Here is a 20,778-nt window from a genome sequence, read left to right on the forward strand (position 1 = left end):
ATCTGTTTTTTAAATTAGAGATAGAATCTTACTTTGTCACCCAGGCTACAGTACAGTGGTATGATCATAGCTCCCTGCAACCTTGAACTCCTGGGCTCAAACGATCCTCTTGCCTTAGCATGCCGAATAGCTGGGACTACCAGTGTATGTCACCACATCCTGCTAATATTTTTATTTTTGTAGAGACAGGAACTCACTGTGTTGCACAGGCTGGTTTTGAACTCCTGGACTCAAGTGATCCTCCTGCTTTGGCCTCCCAAAGCACTGGGATTATAAGCATGAGCCAGCACACTCAGCTGAGATACATTTTTTTAAATAAAAGAAGTTTTGAAAATAAAAGGATGGGAAAAGCATCAGGCAAGTGCTAAGAAAATGAAAGCAAATGAGGTTGAGATCAGGACTGGTACAGGAACGGGGGTGGATCTGGTTCTGGGTTGGGGAATATCAGTGAATCCAGTTACGAGAAGCCAGGAAAGGAGACCAATGCGGATGTTAAAAGCTTGGTAGAAATAATACTAAGCCAACAGAAGCCTCGCACTGTCCACTGAGCTGTTCCTAAATATTGTCCTAGTTTGTCCCATGCAGTGTGACAAGCAGGCTCTCTCCTGTGTCCAGACTTGTTGGACTGACCCTCATATGTGATGCTGCCTCCGAGGAGGTTTCCTCACTGTGAACCCAGGTTGCATCATCTGAAACACAGTGAAGACTAATCTATGACCAGGACTTCCCAGCCAGAGACACCAGTCACAGAGAACCACCAGGACAGGACCTGGTGCCACCCTTAAGATCAAGTATCCCCTCCCAACAACTCAGCCCCACACCTGCTCTGCCCAAAACTTTGGCTCAGCCAGTAGTTGGTGGGGACATTGTGTTTTTCCTACCCACACCCTCACTGATCACATGTTGGTCCTTAGCATGAACAGGGCGAGCCATGCTTCCAGGTTCCTGTCCACTGGTCAAATCACCCCCATGCTATGTTGGTGCACTCTTGCCAGACCAGCACTGAGACATTTATGGCCCTAATTTATTGCCCACTTATGGCCAATCAGGCATGGAGCTAAGTGTTTTACAGTTACAATCTCATTTCATATTCACTCCTTTCAGCAACTCTCTGGAGAAGATACTGTTATGATCTAGTTTTTTGTTGTTGTTGTTTTTGTGTTTTTTTGAGATGGAGTCTCACTCTTGTTGCCCAGGCTGGAGTGCAATGATGCAATCTTGGCTCACTGCAACCTCCACCTCCCAGGCTCAAGCGATTCTCCTGCCTCAGCCTCCCAAGTGGCTGGGATTACAGGCGCCCACCACCATGCCCAGCTAATTTTTGTATTTTTAGTAGAGATGGGTTTTGCCATGTTGGCCAGGCTGGTCTTGAACTCCTGACCTCAGGTGATCCGCCCGCCTCAGCCTCCCAAAGTGCTGGGATTACAGGCAAGAGCCACCACGCCCAGCCATGATCCATATTTTACAGAAGAGGAAGGAGTTGAGGTTTGGAGAAATTACAGAACTTGTCCAGAATCTCCCAGTAGGAAAGGTATAGATAGAACCAGATAATGATCCCAGTCCATCTTCTGGAGCCTGCGCTTCTATTATTATTATTATTATTATTCAACTTTTAGGTTCAGCAGGTATGTGTGCAGGTTTGTTACATGGGTAAATTGTGGTCGCTGGGGTTTGAACAATTGTACAAATGATTTCATCACTCAGGTAGTGAGCATAGTACCAAGAGGTAGTTTTTCAACCCTCACCCTCCTCCCACCCTCCACCCTCAAGCAGGCCCCAGCATCTATTGTTTCCCTCTTTGTGTCCATGTGTACTTCATGTTTAGATAATACTTTATAAGTGAGAACATGTGGTGCTTGGTTTCCTGTTCCTCTGTTAATTTGCTTAGCATAACAGCCTCCAGCTGCATCCATGCTGCTACAGAGGATATAATTTCATTCTTTTTTATGGCTGCGTAGTATTCCATGGTGCATATATATACCGCATTTTCTTTATCTACTCCACTGTTGATGGGCATCTAGGTTGATGCTATGTGTTTGCCATTGCGGATAGTGCTGCAATGAACATACACATGGGTGTGTCTTTTTGGTAGAATGATTTATATTACTTTGGGTATGTACCCAGTAATGGGATTGCTGAGTGAAATGGTAATTCTGTTGTAAGTTCTTTGGGAAATCTCCAAACTGCTTTCCACAGTAGCTGAATTGTGATTTACATTCCTGAGTTTTTAAACTGTTGTGGTCTTTTGGATTTTGCTTTATCCTGCACGCAAGGTAAACATCTTATGGTTGTTGTGGTCTTGTTTGTTTTGGTAGGCTCTCTTGCAAGTGAATCTTTTCCTTCGATATGTATATCCACATTCATGCATCATCGTACACAGGTTCAGAAGTGTAATCCTATGAGTGCTTTTTTAGAGCACGCTTTTTTTTTTTCTTACTTTCTTGGCTCCTTCTCCCTGTCTCATTCCTCCTCTTCCCATGGGTCCCTCCCAGGTAACTTATAAAAATCAAGTGCATGACCTTCTATATTTTTCTTTTCTTTCTTTCTTTTTTTTTTTTTAAGACAGGATCTCACTCTATCACCCAGGCTGGGGTGCAGTGGCAGGATCTTGGCTCACTGCAACCTCCATCTCCCAGGTTCAAGCGATTCTGCTGCCTCAGCCTCCCAAGTTACTAGGACCACAGGAGTGCACCACCCCACCTGGCTAATTTCTGTATTTTTTAGTAGAGATGGGATTTCGCCATGTTGGCCAGGCTGGTCTCGAATTCCTGGCCTCAAGTGATCCACCTGCCTCAGCCTCCCAAAGTGCTGGGATTACAGGTGTGAGCCACAATGCCAGTGCCCAGCCTATTTTTCTTTTTCTTTTTCTTTTTTTTTTTTTTTTTTTTTGAGACAGAGTCTCACTCTGTCAGCCAGGCTGGAGTGCAGTGGCACGATCTCAGCTCACTGCAACCTCTGCTTCCTGGGTTCAAGCAATCCTCCTGCCTCAGCCTCCCAAGTAGCTGGGATTACAGGCATGCACCACCACACCTGGCTAATTTTGTATTTTCAGTAGAGACGGGGTTTCACCATGTTGGCCAGGCTAGTCTCCAACTCCTGACCTCAGGTGATCCACCTGCCTTGGCCTCCCAAAGCACTGGGATTACAGGTGTGAGCCACTACTCCCAGCCATTTTTCTTAATTCTTATATAATCCTATTCTCTTCTCATCCCCCCAACACCTCGCCCTCTCTCTGTTTCTCTCTAGCACACACACACACATGCCTACACACATGCATACGCATACACACACATTGCATATACATACACAAGTTTTTTGTAATTTTGTCCTTTTTTAAACAAAAATATGGATTCGTCTTATATACACTTTTTCCTTTCTTAATTTTTCCACTCAGTTATGCCTTGTGGAAATTCTTTTTTTTTTTTTTTTTTTTTTTTGAGACGGAGTCTCGCTCTGTCGCCCAGGCTGGAGTGCAGTGGCGCGTTCTCAGCTCACTGCAAGCTCTGCCTCCCGGGTTCACGCCATTCTCCTGCCTCAGCCTCCCGAGTAGCTGGGACTACAGGTGCCCGCCACCACGCCCGGCTAATTTTTTGTATTTTTAGTAGAGGCGGGGTTTCACTGTGTTAGCCAGGATGGTCTCGATCTCTTGACCTCATGATCCGCCCGCCTCTGCCTCCCAAAGTGCTGGGATTACAGGCGTGAGCCACCGCGCCCGGCGGAAATTCTTCAGATTATCCAGTGTGACTCTAATCCAACAGTGTAGTGGCAGCATAACATTTGGTGGTAGCATAACACGTGGCAGCATAACATTCCGTGGTACGAATAATGGTGCATAATGGATGCACCAGTATGCGTTCTCCCACTCTGTATTGATGGGCAGTCACTGTTTCCGCATTTTGCCACAAACGATGCTGCAGTAACTTCCTGGTACTCATGTCTTTGGGTCCTGATGCTTTTCTTTCTAGGGGACGAAGCCTAAAGAGTAGGCTTTCTGGATTGCATATGTATTTTCATTAAAATTTTGAAAACATAGAAAAACATTCTCAACGTAAGTTTCCAAGTATTACAATTCCAAATATCAATTCCCCATTGCTGCTACAACAAATTACTGTGAATGTGGCCAATGTGGTGGTTTAAAACAGCACGAGTTGCTGGGTGTGTTCGCTCATGCCTGTAATTCCAGCACTTTGGGAGCCCGAGGTGTCAGGATCGCTTCAGCCCAGGAGTTCAAGCCCAGCCTGGGAAACATAGCAATGCACTGTCTCTAAAATATAAACAAAAGGCTGAGCAAGGTGGCTTATGCCTGTAATCTCAGCACTTTGGGAGGCCGAGGCGGGTGGATCACTTGAGGTCAGGAGTTCGAGACCAGCCTGACCAACATGGTGAAACCCCATCTCTACTAAAACATACAAAATTTGCTGGGCCTGGTGGCACATGCCTGTAATCCCAGCTATTTGGGAGGCTGAGGCAGGAGAATCGCTTGAACCCGGGAGGCGGAGATTGCAGTGAACCGAGATCACACCATTGCACTCCAGCCTGGGCAACAACAGCGAAACTCTATCTCAAAAAAATAAATAAATATATCAAATAAAATATAAACAAAAGTAAAAATACTTTTTTAAAAAAGCAGCACATATTTATTATTTACAGTGTTGGAGATGAGAAGTCCTAAAATTGAGGGGTGCACATGGCTGTGTTGCTCCTGGAAGCTCCAGTGAGAAACTGTTCCTGGACTTTTCCAGCCCTAGAGGCTGCCTGCCTTCCATTCTTGCAGCCAACCTTGTGATTATATTGAGCTTGCTTAGATAATCCAAGATGATGCCTCCATTCCAAGATCTTAATAATCACATCTGCAAAGTCTCTTTTGCAATGTAAGGTAATACGTTCACAGCTCAAGGAATTGGGGTGTGCACATCTTTGGGGGGTTGTTATTCACGCTATACAAAGTGCAAATGAATAAAAGATAAATCTCCCTCCCTCAATCACTCCGAGGACTCTAATCCTCCACCCACCCATTACTTCCGATTTCCGATGTGTTCTTCCAATGTGAGCTTGTTCAACCCACTGCCCATGGGCTGCATTCAACCCAGAACAGCTTTAAATGCAGCCCAACACAAATTCATAAACTTTCTTAAAACATTAGGAGATTTTTTTTTTGCAATTTTTTTTTTTTTTAGCTCATCAGCTATCGTTAGTGTTAGTGTATTTTATGTGTGGCTCAAGACAATTCTTCTTCTTCCAGTGTGGCCCAGGGAAGCCAAAAGATTGGACACCCCTGTTCTAATGTTTTATGTAAACTCCAGTATATATTTATGTTTGTTATATTTTACAAATGATGGCATAGTATATACCCCGCTTCCTGTCCCTGACTTCGTTTCATTTAACAACACATCTTAATAATTATCCCATTGCCAGAGCCTAGGCTCTGAACCAATAAAGTTGCAGGACTTGAAAAGAAGTCCAGTTCAGCAGAGAAAAATGTAACATCCAGACAGCAGGTGCTAGAAAATCAGGCCATGTCAGGGATACTAACAGGTGGGTGGAGGCCCAGGCCTGGGAACCCTGGCACTCTTTGGAATTCCAAGAGGTGGATCTGTTGCAGGAGCTGTGATATCAGAGAGCTCCAGCCACTGGGCTGGTTCAAGGGCAGGACCTGAGTGTTTGGAGAGGAATGGTGAGAGGTAGGAGGAATCTGGTCCTAGGGAAGTTACCAAAACAGGCACTCAGGAACAGATAACTCAATAACCACATAAACAATTCCACAAATATTTACTTAGTGGCTGCTACAGGCCACGTGCTGAGCTGAATGCTGGTTTCTATCTAGGAAGAGACAGGCATGATCCAGGTCCTCCCACACCTTCATGGTCAGGTAGACAGACAAAGAGAGAGAGAATGTTGTTATCAATATAGTCAGTGCCGTGGTTGGGGAGGAAAGAATTCTTCGGGATAATGGGAGTGGGGAAGAAGAGACCAAATAATTCAGATATATTTATCAGGGTAGGCTAATTGCTATAGCAGACAAACTTCCAATCTCAGTGTCTTAATACAATAAAGTTTATTTTTCACTTATGTTACAATCTAATGCTGGTTGAGGAAAGGGTAGGTGGGACTCTGCTCCACATAGTCATTCAGTGACCCAGGCTCCTTCTATCTAATGGCTCCACTGCCCTCCCATAAGAATGTCAGTTCCCTGTCAGATCCTCTGCATCCACCTAGGGGAGGGAAAGAACACTGTGGAAGATAACATGGAAGGTTTTCATAGGACAGACCTTGAATAGATGTACATCATTCTACCCACTTTCAGTTGGCCAGAACTCAGTCACATGGTCTCACTCGTCTGCATGGGAGCCTGGGAAATGTAGTCCAACTATGAGCCCAAGAAGAAAAAGAACCAGGGTTTGGTAAACACGTAGCAGTCTGTGCTGTGCCAGACTTGGGAAGATGGGGAAACTCCCTGGAAGAATGGTTTCTAAGCTGATACCTGGAAGATATGTTAAGAGTTATCAGGATGAAGGAAAGGGAGGAAGGGAAGGGCAATGTTGCCAACAAACAGATCAATGTAAGCAAAAATGAAAAGCATTGAAAATCATGGCATGTTGAAGACAAGAAGGACGTTCTGTCTATCTAGAGAGCAGAAGGCAAGCCATGATGGTGGAGCAACCACAGGGGCTAGACCAGGCGGGGTGTTATAAGCTGGGTCAAGGAATTTATCCCAATAATGATCAAAGCCATGGAAGGATCTGAAATTCAGGATAAATTTGCATTCCAGAAAAATTTATCTCGTTTGTATATGGAGAATAGACTGGAGGGGAAAAGCAGAGAAGATAGCAGGAGACCAGCTGTGAAGGTGAGAAAAGATGACAGTCTAAACTACAGGAGTGGCTGCAGAGGGCAGTGAGAGTTCCAGATATCAGGAAATGGGGTTAGAGGATTCATAATGGATGAGATGGGCAACTAAGCAAAACAGATAAACAAGGATGAGGGCTGAGTTTACCTGTGGGATAGCTGAATGGTTGGTGATTCCATTAGCCAAGAAAGACAACAATCCCAGCAGTTTGGGGGGTGGGATTAGTTCACTTTGGACTTGTCAGGTTTGTGGTACCTACTGGACATTTAGAGAGCATTGCTCTGTAGTTAATTTTTCTTTCTTTCTTTCTTTCTTTCTTTCTTTCTTTCTTTCTTCTTTCTTTCTTTCTTTCTTTCTTTCCTTCTTTCTTTCTTTCTTTCTTTCTTTCCTTCCTTCCTTCCTTCCTTCCTTCCTTTCTTTCCTTCCTTCCTTCCTTCCTTCCTTTCTTTCCTTCTTTCTTTCTTTACTTCTTTCTTTCTTTTTTTGTAGGGAGGACAGAATCTTGCTTTGTCACCCAGGCTGCAGTGCAATGGTGCAATCTCAACTCAGTGCAACTTCCACCTCCCAGGGTTCAAGTGATTCTCCTGCCTCAGCTTCTCGAGTAGCTGGGATTACAGATGCCCGTGAACATGCACAGCTGATTTTTGTATTTTTAGTAGAGACAGGGTTTCACCATGTTGGCCAGGCTGGTCTTGAACTCCTGAACTCGTTCGTGATCCACCCACCTTGGCCTCCCAAAGTGCTGGGATTACAGGCATCAGCCACCGTGCCTGGCTTCTTTCTTTCTTTTTAAGAGACAGGGTCTCACTCCATTGCTCAGGCTGGAGTACAGTGGTGTAATCATAGCTCACTGCAGCCTCGAACTCCTGGGCTCAAGCGATCATCCTGCCTCGACCTCCCAGACAGCTGAGATTACAGGCAGGTGCTACCATGCCCAGTTAATTTTTTAAATTTTTGAGGGGGTCCCAACTATGTTGCTCAGGCTGGCCTTGAACTGGTGGCCTCAAGCAATCCTCCTGCCTTGGCATCCCAAAGTGCTGGGATTACAGATGTAAGCTGGACCCAGCCTTGTAGTCAATTATATATGGGCCTAGAGATCAAGAAAAAGATTCAGGCTGAGGATACAGTCATGAGAGTCAATAAGTTCATTCCAGGGAGAGGAGGAAGGAGAGAAACAGGAGAAAGAACAAGGCCTGGACTGAAACCCTGTGGAATGCCAACATTTAAGGAGTGAGCAGAGGAAGTGGAGCTCACACAAGCATCTGATACAAAGCAGTGTAGCATCTGAGGACAAAAGACAATGAGAGCGTGACATCATGAAGATCAAGGAAAGAGACAATTTCACGAAAGCATGTGCAGGCAACAGTATTTGCAGAGAGGCAAACTAAATCAAGGGCTGAAAACCATCCATCAGTTTTGGACAGGAAGGAAGTTGATGTGTTGGTAAGAGCCAGATTGCCCCGGATTGACGAGGAGGGGAGATGAAGGCCACTCAATCAGGAGCATTGCTGTGAAGGAATGAAAGAATTCAGAACAGTGTCGGAGGAAAATTTAGCATGTCCATGGAAGGTATTCCTCATTTTAAGATAGAAGATGCAGCCAGGCACCGTGGTTAACACCTGTAATCCCAGCACTTTGGGAGGCCAAGGCGGGTGGATCACTTGAAGCCAGGAGTTCGAGACCAGCTTGGCCAACATGGCGAAACCCTGTCTCTACTAAAAATGCAAAAATTAGCCAGGCATGGTGGCGTGCACCTGTGATCCCAGCTACTTGGGAGGCTGAGGCACGAGAATTGCTTGAACTCAGGAGGTGGAGGTTGCAGTGAACCAAGATCACTCCACTGGACTCCAGCCTGGGCAACAGAGCAAGACTCTGTCTCAAAAAAAAAAAAAAAAAAAAAAATATATATATATATATATATAGAAGACACCTTTCCTTGACATCTTGGCACTTTGTAAGCCCTTTGGAACTCAGACACCACCAAAGAGAAAAGAGTGAAGATCCCAAAATTCATTAATTTAACAAATATATATATATATATTGAGATGCTCTGTTGCCTAGGCTGGAGTGAGTGCAGCAGTGCAATCTCTGCTCACTGCAACCTCCACCTCCTGGGTTCAAGCGATTCTCCTCCTGTAATTATTCCAGTTACTTGGGAGGTTGAGGCCGGAGAATTGCTTGAACCAGGGAGGCAGAGGTTGCAGTGAGCCGAGATCGTGCCACTGAGACTCCGTCTCAAAAAAAAAAAAAAAAAAAAGGACCAGGCAGGGTGGGGAGGGAGGGGGAAGCATGAAGGACAGAAGTAAGAAAATCCAGGTGATCCAGGTGACAGGTGATGCTATATTGGGGAGGGGGAATGAAGTGCCAGCAGTGGAAATGGTGAGAAATGAATCCATTCTAGAAATACTTTGAAGGTAGACTCAGCTGGCTTCACTGGCTGATTGGCTGTGCGTTGTAAGAGAGTAGGATCAACCCTAAAGGGGAATGAAGTGCTGATACAGGCTAAAACATGCTTGAACCTCAAAACACTTGGCTAAGTGGAAGAAGTCAGGTCCTCTAAGTTGTTGCCAAGAAGGACAACAACCTCGGCTATTTGGGAGTGGGGTGAGTTTCACTTTGGGCTTGTCAAGTTTGTGGTGCCTATGGGACATTTAGAGAGAGATGATCTGTAGTTTTGTTTTGTTTTGCTTTGTTTTGAGACAGTCTCACACTGTCACCCAGGCTGGATAGCCTGTCCACATATTGTATGATTCAATTCATGTGAAATGTCCAGAATAGGTAAATCCATGCAGATGGAAGGCAGACTGCCAATTGCCAGGGGGTAGTGGGAGACGGGAGGGGGGTAACTGCTTAATGAGTATGGGGTTTTCTTATAGGGTGATACAAATGTTTTGGAATTAGAGGTGATGGTTGCATAACATCTGAGTGCACTCAATGGTACTGGATTGTTCACTTTAAAATGGTTAATTTTATTGCTTGAGGCCAGGAGCTTAAGATCAGCCTGGGCAACATAGTGACCCCCCCACCCCTCACATCTCTACAAAAAATAAAAAATTAGCCCAGCTTGATTGCATGCACCTGTAGTCCCAGCTACTTGGGAGGCTGAAGTGGGAGGATCACTTGAGCACAGAAGTTGGGGGCTGCAGTGAGCTATGATCGTACCACTGCACTCCAGCCTGGACGACAGAGTGAGAACTTGCCTCTAAAAAAATAAAAAATGAAATGAAATGGCTAATTTTATGTTCTGTGAATCTCACCTTAATAAAAAAAAAGGGGAGGGGGCGGGTGTTGAAAAAAAGCCTCCAAAGTCTTTGGTCTGAAAATTTTGTGTGTGTGGGGTGTGTGTGTGTGTGTGTGTGTGATGGGGGCTGACTCTGTCACCCAGGCTGGAGTGCAGTGGAGCAATCTTGGCTCACTGCAACCTCTGCCTCCCGGGTTCAAGCAATTCTCCTGCCTCAACCTCCCAAGTAGCTGGAATAATTACAGGTGCCCACCACCACGCCTGGCTAATTTTTGTATTTTTAGTAGAGACGGGTTTTCACCATGTTGGCCAGGCTGGTCCTGAACTCCTGGGCTCAAGTGATCTGCCCACCTCAGCCTCCCAAGCTACTGGGATTACAGGTGTGAACCACCACGCCCAGCCGTGGTCTGAAACCTTAAAGATCAGGGTTGCCATTTACTGAGATGGAGAAAACTTACACAAGGAGGAGGGTGAGGGAGAAGCTTCTGGTGTTCAGTGCTGGATAATTCTTAATTTGGAGATGTCTAATGAACATCCAAGTGAGATTGTCAAGGACACAGATAGATGTGCTTGGATTTCAGGGAAAATGCTGAAGAAATTTGGGAGTCCTCCGCATATAGCTTATCTTTGGGCTCAGAACTGGCTGATATTTAATTTTCTGCTTCTTTTTTGAAGAGGACAGAAATACAAATTACTTCGTTACAGAAAAGTAAACACTTTTATGTGTTGCACGTCCAAGATTGTGGAGTGAAATTCGTACCTTCTACGTTCAGATGGGTTGCAGCTCTTTAAACCCAGCCAGGCATGACTGATCTGGAGCCAGGCAGGGCCGGGCTTGCTGGGAGGGTGGAGGAAGCCTGCAGAGCTCCGAGCTCTCTCCAGTGTTTCTGCAGAGCCCCTGGAGAACAACAGCTGACTTTGTGTATTCAGTAAAGATGCATCTGTCATGCCTACTAGCACTGTTTTCATCCTGCTGAGACTTGTCGGTTGAAAAGCCAGAAGGAATGCACCTGGTTTGCTAGCACCACCGAAATTTTGCCAAACTAAGGGATGCAGATTTTAGAACAACAATCTTCCATTGTTGGTGGTCATGCGCAGTTAACAACCATCACCAACAGTTAGTAGTAACAATGGGTTCAGTCCTTTCCGTGTGCCCAGCACTCCGCCAGGGGCTTTGCGTTCATCCTCTTGTTTCGCTCTTACATGAAGCTTGAGAGGGAAGTATCATTTTTATTTTTATTTTTTTAATTTTAATTTTTTTTTTTGAGACAGAGTCTCACTCTGTCACCCAGGCTGGAGTGCAGTGGAACGATCACAGTTCACTGCAGCCTCAACTTCCCAGGCTCCAGTGATCCTCCCACCTCAGCCTCTTGAGTAGCTGGGCCCACAGGCATGCATCACTATGCCGGCTAATTTTTGTATTTTTGGTAGAGATGGGATTTCCCCATGTTGCCCAGGCTGGAACTCCTGGGATCAAGCAATCCACCTGCCTTGGCCTCCCGAAGTGCTGGGATTATAGGCGTGAGCCACCATGCCTGGCTGGTAGGTATTATTATTATGAGCTCTAGTTTTCCACGTATTAAACAAGCACAGAGAGGTTAAGCAATTTTCCCAAGGGCACACAGCAAGTAAATGAATAATCAGGAGGCGAACTCAAATATGTCTGACTTTCTAGTCTTGTGCTTTGGAAGAATAACACCAGGAAATGTCAGAAGCTTCCTCTTTCACCACTATGCAGTCAGTGGCTAGAGAAGGTGTGGTCTGGGTTCCCCAAGTGACCATGTGCCTCCTCACCAGCCCCTAGCACAGGATCGGCACATAATTGGTGTTCAGAGCTTCCTGAATGAATAAACGGATGAATGACTGAATAAATTAACAAGCACACAAACGATCTGCAAATATCACATTGCATTGTGCTTAGTAATTAATGAGCCAGCTCAGGCTGTGGGCTACTTGAGGAGAGAGACACTTCCTTACATCCTGTAACAATGATGTCCAACATGCCAGAAAAATTTAGAGTACAGGTTAAAATGCATGGACCCTGGAGGTGGACTGCTTAGGCACAAATCGTGCCTCCTCTTCTGTACAAGCCCTGAGACCCAGTGATTTGATTTTCTCATCTGGAAAATGGGAAGAACAGTAATAGCCATTCCATAAAGATTTTTATTAAGATTAAATAAGGCGGTGGCCCACACCTGTAATCCCAACACTTTGGGAGGCCAAAGTGGGTGGTTCATCTTTGGTCAAGAGTTCAAGACCAGCCTGGCCAACATGGTGAAACCCCATCTCTACTAAAAATAGGAAAATGAGCTGGGCGTAGTGGCTGGCACCTGTAATCCCAGCTATTCCGGAGGCTGAGGCAGGAGAATCACTTGAACTCTGGAGTGGGAGGTTGCAGTGAGCCAAGACCACACCATTGCACTCCAGCCTGGGTGACAGAGCAAGACTCTGTCTCAAAACAAATAAACAAACAAAAACGATGGAATAAGTTAAGACTCTGGTACATAACAGCTGTTCAGTAAACATTAGCTGTGTGTCCATGGAGGCACAGAGAAAGAAGTCCCTGGCTGTCCCTGGTGGGGTCAGGTACAGTTGGCACTCTGTAACCTAGAATAAGAATAGATAAGGGTTTTTACATATTCTCACTTATAAGTGGTAGCTAGATAATGGGTACACATGGACATACAGAGGAGGAAGTTTCTGACATGTCCTGGTTTTATTCATCCAAAACACAAGACTTGAAAATCAGACATATTTAAGTTTGCCTCCTGATTCTTCATTTAACTGCTGTATGGACTGTATGAAAATCAGACATATTTGAGTTTGCCTCCTGATTATTCATTTAATTGCTGTGTGACCTTGGGCAAATCACTTAACCTCTCTGTGCTTGTTTATATGTGGAAAACTGGGGATCATAATAGTAATACTTACTGGCCGGGTGCAGTGGCTCATGCCTGTAATCCCAGCACTTTGGGAGGCCGAGGTGGGTGAGTTGCTTGAGCCCAGGAGTTCGAGACCAGCCTGGGCAACATGGGGAAACTCCGTCTCTACAGAAAAAATACAAAAATTAGCCTGGCATGGAGACTCCAAAAGGTGGGAGGGTGGGAAAGGGATGAAGGATGGAACACTGCCTATTAGGTACAATATACACTATTTGGGTGATGGGTACATTAAAAACCCAGATTTCACCACTACACACTATATCCACGTACCACGACTGCACTTGTACCCATAAATCCATAAAAATAGAAAATTTAATTTCAATAAATAAAAACAGTGATGGAATTAGTACCCCCCAAAATGAGGGGGAAGAACAGATAGGGTTTTCAAACATTTATTAGGTGCCAAGAACTGAGCTAAGCATCTACTATGTGTCTTCTAATTTAATCTTTACAACAATAACATGAGATAGGCACTATTATTATCCCATTTTCCTGATACAAAGGCTGAGGCTAAGAGAGATTAGGTAACTTGCCAAGATTCACAAAGCAAATAAGTACAGATAAAGAAAGGAATCTATGAATACTCCTCCTTGGTTTATGATGGGGTTACATCCTGATAAACCCATCATGAGTTGAAAATATCTTAATTGAGGTAGGAGGCATGACTCCATTCCAGATGTGGGGCTTGGACACTGGACCAAATTGAGAACTAGCTAAAACAGGGCCAGAGCAGAAGCAACTTTCCATAAGACACACCCACTAGTGTGCCATGTCAGTTTACTATTGCCATGGCAACGCCTGCCCCCTTCCATGGCAACAACCTGACAACCCAGAAGTTACCACCACTTTTTCTAGAAACATCTGCATAAACTGCCTCTTGATTTGTATGTAATTAAAAGTAGGTGTAAATACAAGTACAGCCCTGCCTCTGAGCTGCTTTTCTGGGCACACTGCCTATGAGGTAGCCCTGCTCTGCAAGAAACAGTCCTTCTGCTGCTGCTGTGTGCTGTGGCTTCAATATAAGTTGCTGTTTAACACTACCAGCTTGACCTTGAATTCTCTCCTGGACAAAGCCAAGAACCCTCCTAGGCTAAGCCCCAACTTGGGGGCTTGCCTATCCTGCATCAAGTTGAAATGCATTTGATATACCTGACCTACCAAACATCATAGCTTAGTCTAGCTCCCCTTAAGCTCAGAACACTTACGTTAAGCTGGGCACAGTGGCTCACGCCTGTAATCCCAGGACGTTGGGAGGCTGAGGCAGGTGGATCACTTGAGGTCAGGAGTTGAAGACCAGCCTGGCCAACATGGTGAAACCCCATCTCTACCAAAAAGACAAAAATTAGCCAGGTGCGGTGGCACATGCCTGTAGTCCCAGCTACTCGGGAGGCTGAGATATGAGGATCTCTTGAACTCGAGAGGCAGATGTTGCAGTGACCCAAGATCACGACACTGCACTCCAGCCTAGGCAACAGAGCAAGACTCCATCTCCAAAAATAAGAAGGACACTTACTTTAGCCTACAATTGGGCAAAATCATCTAACACCAAGCCTAATTTATAAGAAGGTGTTGAATGTCTTGTGTAATGTATTGAATATTGCACTGAAAGTGAAAAACAGAATGGTTGTATAGGTACTCCAGGTACAATTTCTACTGAATATATATGGCATTTGCACCATGGTAAAGTCAGAAAATCCTAAATTGAACCATTGTAAATCAGGGATTGTCTGCATTGTCCCTGAAAAACAAAACCATTGTAGGCAATTCAAATAGAGGAAATTTGATACAAGAAATTAATTACACAAATGATTCAACAGCTGAGAAGCCAAGCCGGAGATGGTGAAGCAATCCTGGACTCAGCAACATCAGGAAACTACTCTCACAGGTAGGGCTGGAGGGACACAGGGAGGATGTGGTGTTACCGATGCCCAGAGCTGGGTCATGCTCAGAACTTGGTCCACCTAGAAGGAGCTAGAACCACAGCAGGAGCTTCCCAGTGAGAAGCTAAACCATGGAGGAGGTGCAGCCTCTGTTGGGAAATGTTCTCTGAATTTGGGGAACGAAGGACCGCCCTGGCTCCTCCCCTTGTCCCACCATCCAATCTCCTGCCAGTGCCTCTTTTTGGCCCAATTTAGATAGAAGTCAATTGACCAGTTGGCAGTAGAGCTTGGGAAATGTACCTTGCATTAGAAATGTTAGGGATGGCCGAGTGCAGTGGCTCGCACCTGTAATCCCAACATTTGGGATGGCTGAGGTGGGCGGATCACCTGAGGTCAGGAGTTCAAGACCAGCCTGGCCAACATGGCGAAAACCTGTGCCTACTAAAAGTACAAAAATTAGCCAGGTATGGTGGCACGTGCCTATAATCCCAGCTACTCGGGAGGCTGAGGTAGAAGAATTGCTTGAACCCAGGAGGAGGAGATTGCAGTGAGCGGAGACAGTGCCACTGCACTCCAGCCTGGGCAACAGAGCAAGACTCCATCTCAAAAAAATAAATAAATAAAAATAAATTAAGAAAATAAATAAAATAAAATGGCAGAGCATGGATCTAAGATCAAACAGGTCAACAACCCACATGTTGGTCTTGTTAGAACTCCAGCACCTCACATAGTGTTTGGCACAACGAAGGCACTCCATAAATAGAAAGAAAGCTAGGAGGCAGAGGGAAGGGCAGACAAACACTAAAGTCTGTGCTCTTAACCCAGAGGGAGCAACCTCAGATGCCTACAGCAGTCAGACAGAGCATACAAAAGCATGGAGTGAACCAGTTCTAGGGAGAGGTGAGGACCATGTCAAACTGGAGAGCACACCCCATGTCTAAATGGGGCAGCCCTACTAAGTAACTTTCAGCCAATTTCTGCCAAGGAATGCAAGTTCAGTGTTGCCAGATCTGCTGACTTCTCAGGAGAAATAGAAAATCCTGATTTTCAAGTTCGATCTGCTACTTTTTAAATGTTGGCAAACAAATCAAATCCAAATGAGCCTGGGGCATCTTGTTGGGCTGGAAAGCAAAGAAGCTTATCAAAGACTATGCGAGTTCATGGTCCCATCAGAAGGACACAGAGGTAGCCTGGCAGGGCTCCCACTTGCTCAATTTGGACCATTTTTTAGTATCAAAAAGAAAGAATGAATAATCCTGGAACAGAAAAAACACATTAGTGGAGAAACTGGTAACATTTAAATAAAGTCTAGAGTTTGGTTAATAGTAATGTATGAACATTGGTTTCTCACTTTTGTCAAAGGTACCATATGGTCATGTTAGACGTTAAGAAGTTAAGACTCTCACTCTGTCACCCAGGCTGGAATGCCATGATGTGATCATTGCTCACTGCATCCTCAGTCTCCTGGGCTCAAGCTATCCTCTTGTCTCAGCCTCCCCAGTAGCTGGGACTACAGGTGTGCACCACCACACCCAGCTAATTTTTTATTTTTTGTAGAGGTAGGGCCTCGCTATGTTGTCCAGGCTGGTCTCAAACTCATGGCCTCAAGTGATCCTTCTGCCTCAGGCTCCCAAAGTGCTGAGATTACAGGCATGAACTAGTGCACCCAGCCTAAAAAAATATGTTTTAAAAAATAATAAATGGGCCAGGCATGGTGGCTTATATGTGTAATCCTAGCACTTGGGCAGGCCAAAGCAGGAGACTCACTTGAGCCCGGGAGTTGAAGAACAGCCTGGCCAACATAGCAAGACTCTATCTGTACAGAAAATTTTTAATTAGCAAGAGTAAAAAAACAATAATAATAAAAAAAAATAATAAAAAATACAATAATAGTCTGGGCACAGTGGCTCACGCCTATAATCCCAACACTTTGGGAGGCCAAGGCAGAAGGATCACTGGAGGTCAGGAGTTCAAGACCAGGCTGGGCAACATGGCGAAACTCCATCTCTACTAAAACCACGTGAATTAGCTGGGCATGGTAGTGCATGCCTATAATCCCAGCTACTTGGGAGGGTGAGGAATGAGAATCGCTTGAACCCAGGAGGCAGAAGTTGCAGTGAGCCAAGATCGAGCCACTGCACTCCAGCCTGGGCAACAGAGCGAGACACTGTCTTAAAATAATAAATACCATTGAATGAAACATATTAAATCTATTTTTAAAGATCAATGAATTCATAATGATATTTTAAAAGAGAAAGAGAAAACAGAAAAGGAGGAACTATTTGTCATCATTGGAGGCAGCTGTTGCATCAAGTCCTTACTCTAAAAATAGTAGTGATAACAAGGAAAGAATTTATTCTGCCCTAGTCAGTGAGGGAAAGAAGCTCTTCTTTAAGGAAGAATGCCTGCTCACAAATGTCAAAGGAATGAGAGCATTAGAACTTTGCAACTCCGAACAAAATGATTGACTCAGACAATGATCATCAATGGATGCTGAAACTGCAAGGTGAAAGGTTCAAGGGAGGCTGGATATTTAACCTCCGCCTCCTGGGTTCCTGTGATTCACAAGCAGCCAAGTCATCAGGCCATAGAGAACTTACTGGTTCTGAGAGAAGAAACGACTTCACAATGGAAGGATCTGGTTGTCACCACCTGAACCCATGAATCAATCTTAGCTTCGCTAATGAGACAGCCTTTCATTTTGAGCTTTCTGGTGTGATGCAAGAGCATACTTATAACACCACCCAGGAAGAATTCTTGCCGATAACGTGTAGCCAAAATCTGATCAAACCATAGATTTAGCTTCTAGTTTATAGGAAATACAGCAGACAGCAGGACAAATTAAATACACCTCAAGAAATCAATCAAACTCTAGAAGGTAGACCATTCTACCAGCAAGACAATGGTCCTAGTTGCTTCAACAGCTCAATGACCTGGAAAAAGGAGAGAGAACGGGAAGGGAAGCTAGTCTAGATTTAGAAAGACTTAAGAGATGGAATCAAGCCAGGAGCCTGATTACAAGTGGCTCACACATGTAATCCCAGCACTTTGGGAGGCTGAGGCAGGCTATTGCTTGAACCCAGGAGTTCAAGACCAGCCCTGGCAACACAGAAAGAGCCCGTCTCTATTAAAAGTAAATTTTATTTAGTTTTTTGTTGTTGTTGTTGTTGATGTTGTTGTTGTTGCTGTTGTTGTTGTTGCTGGGTTGTTTTTTTTTTTTTTGAGACAGAGTTTTGCTCTTGTCACCCAGGCTGGAGTACAATGGGGTGATCTCCACTCACTGCAACCTCCGCCTCCAGGGTTCAAGTGGTTCTCTTGCCTCAGCCTCCCAAGTAGCTGGAATTACAGGCACCTACCACCACGCCCGGCTAATTTTTATATTTTTAGTAGTGATGGGGTTTTGCCATGTTAGCCAGGCTGATCTCAAACTCCTGACTTCAGGTAATCTGCCTGCCTCAGCCTCCCAAAGTGCTGGGATTACAGGCATGAGCCACCGTGCCCTGCCAAAAATTAATTTTTTTAAAAAAGAGAGAGATATGATAAAATGCAATTTGTGAACATTGACTGGGTCTCGGTTTAAACCAATGGTAAAAGACATTTTGAGGGTGACCGGGGAAATGCTAATATGAGGAATTACATGTTAATAAAGATCCTGTAATCCCAACACTTTGGGAGGCTGAGGTGGGGGGATCATTTGAGCCTAGGAGTTCAAGACCAGCCTGGGCAATAGAGCAAATCCCTGTCACTACAAACAGTAAAAAATAATACTACAAAAATTAGCCAGCCATGATAGCACGCACCTGTAGTCCCAGGGGGTGGCCTACAGATCCACCTCCTGGAGGATGAGGAAGGAGGATCACCTGAGCCCGGGGAGGTTGAGGCTCCAGTGAGCTATGATTATACCACCACAATCCAGCCTGAATGACAGAGTGACACTCAGTCTAAAAATAGAAAAGATCTGGGGTTCATTTTGTTTTGTGACATGATGGTATTGTAACTAAGTAGCGTTTCCTTTTTTTTTTTTTTAAGAGATGGGGTCTCGCTATGTAGCCCAGGCTGGTCTCCAAACTCCTGGGTTGAAGCAGTGACTCACACCTGTAATCCCAGCATTTTGGGAAGCCGAGGTAGGCTGATTGCTTGAGCCCAGGAGTTCAGGACTATCCTGGGCAACATGGTGAAACCCCATCTCTACAAAAAAAAAAAAAAATTAGCTGGGCATGGTGGTGTGTGCCTGTAGTCCCAGCTGCTTGGTGGGCTGAGGTGGAAGCATCACTTGAGCCCTGGTTGAGGCTGCAGTGAGCTGACATTGCGCCACTTTACTCCAGCCTGTGTGACAAAGTGAGACCCTGTCTAGACCCTGTCTCAAAAAACAAAAAAGTTGCAAAGTATGGATTTTTTTTTCTTCTTTTATTAGCTAGGATATATCTATAAAAGAAAACTGCCCCCGTATCAGTTATATGACTACCCTCAGATTCCATTTGTATAGGACAGCCAGAATACATTCTTGACTCTCTCCTTTTAATTACAAATTTTCAAAATAATAAGTCAGTTCCCTAGTGTATTAGCTGACTATTGCCACGTAGCAAATTACCACACTTAGTGGCTTAAAACATTACTCATTTATTACGTGACAGTTTCTGCCAGTCAGGAACCCCAGCAAGGCTTAGCTGTGAGCTCTGCTTTGTGGTCTCTCATGGTGCTGTGATCAAGGTGTCTGCTGGGGCCAGGTGCAGTGGCTCACACCTGTAAATCTCAGCACTTTGGGAGGCCAAGGTGGGAGGATTGCTTGAGCCCAGCAGTTTAAGACCAGCCTGAGCAACATGGCGAAACCCTGCCTCTACAAAAAATAATTGTAAAAAATGAGCCAGGTGTGGTGGTACCCACCTGTGGTCCCAGCTACTCAGGAAGCTGAGGTAGGAGGATTGCTTGAGATGGGGAGGTCAAGGCTCCAGTGAGCTCTGATCACACCACTGCACTCTAGCCTGGGTGATAGAGTGAATGTCTGCTAGGACTTGGGTCTCATTTAAAGGCTCGACTGGGGAAAGGTGGTTGTTAGCAGGATTCAGTTCCTCAAGAGTTGTTGGACTCGGGGCCTCAGTTCCTGTCTGGTTTTTGCCCGGAAGCCACTCTCAGTTTCTTGCCATGTGACCCTCCCAGCATAGTAACTTGCTTCATCAAAGGCAGCAAGGGAGGGTGCTAGCAAGACAGCAGTGAGCAACTTACATAGCCTAATCACAGAAATGACATCCCATCACCCTTGCCATCTTCGATGATTAGAAGCAAGCCACTAGATCAGCCTCCCCATACAGGGGTGTTGACACCAGCAGGCGGAATCACTGGGGGCACCTTAGAGCCTACCGGCCACACCTAGCACCCTTCGAAGATGACTGAGGAGTGTCACTCTGTTTCTTTAATATGGCTTGAGTCATAGAAGGATTATTCTGGCTCTGTGTGGAGACTCTAAACCAGTGGAGGCTGCGTGTGGTAGCTCATGCCTGTAATCCCAGTGCTTTGGGAGGCTAAGACAGGAGGATTGCATGAGGCCAGAAGCCTCAGACCAGCCTGGGCAATGTAGCAAGATCCCATCTCTACAAAATATTTTTAAAAATTAGCTGGGCATGGTGGTGTGTAGTCCTGGATACTCAGGAGGCTGAAGCTGGAGGATCGATTAAGCCCAGGAGTTTGAGGCTGCACTGAGCTGTGGTCACATCACTGCACTCTAGCCTTAGTGACAGCTTGAGACCCTATCTCAAAGAAAAAAAAAAAGAAATCCCTCCCCAACCTCAAATATAGAACCAGAGAGAAAGGATGGAATCAAATGGACCTACTGTAGGCATCCCCACAGCTTTACTGTTTACTACTCCAATA

At 45.1% G+C, this 20,778-nt stretch overlaps 1 protein-coding gene across 1 annotated transcript in view, besides 1 other annotated feature; it reads left to right on the forward strand.

Annotated features, from left to right (window-relative positions):
• The window catches only part of SCNN1B (sodium channel epithelial 1 subunit beta), a 103,064-nt gene continuing 91,627 nt past the window's right edge, over positions 9,342-20,778 (forward strand). Inside the window, exons 1-2 of the mRNA XM_017023525.2 lie at positions 9,342-9,451; positions 14,848-14,915. Of these exons, the coding sequence (XP_016879014.1) occupies positions 14,867-14,915 (49 nt within the window). The 5' untranslated portion in view covers positions 9,342-9,451; positions 14,848-14,866. The remainder of the gene's footprint in view (positions 9,452-14,847; positions 14,916-20,778) is intronic.
• Positions 11,016-11,538: an enhancer, noted in NCBI's record as "OCT4-NANOG-H3K27ac hESC enhancer chr16:23291226-23291748 (GRCh37/hg19 assembly coordinates)". NCBI's record gives its function as "activates a minimal SCP1, AML or CMV promoter by ChIP-STARR-seq in primed H9 embryonic stem cells {active_cell/tissue: H9 hESC(primed)}" and the evidence as "EXISTENCE:reporter gene assay evidence [ECO:0000049][PMID:30033119]".

Source organism: Homo sapiens, chromosome 16 (genome assembly GCF_000001405.40).
Source record: "Homo sapiens chromosome 16, GRCh38.p14 Primary Assembly".
Taxonomy (NCBI): Eukaryota; Metazoa; Chordata; class Mammalia; order Primates; family Hominidae; genus Homo; species Homo sapiens.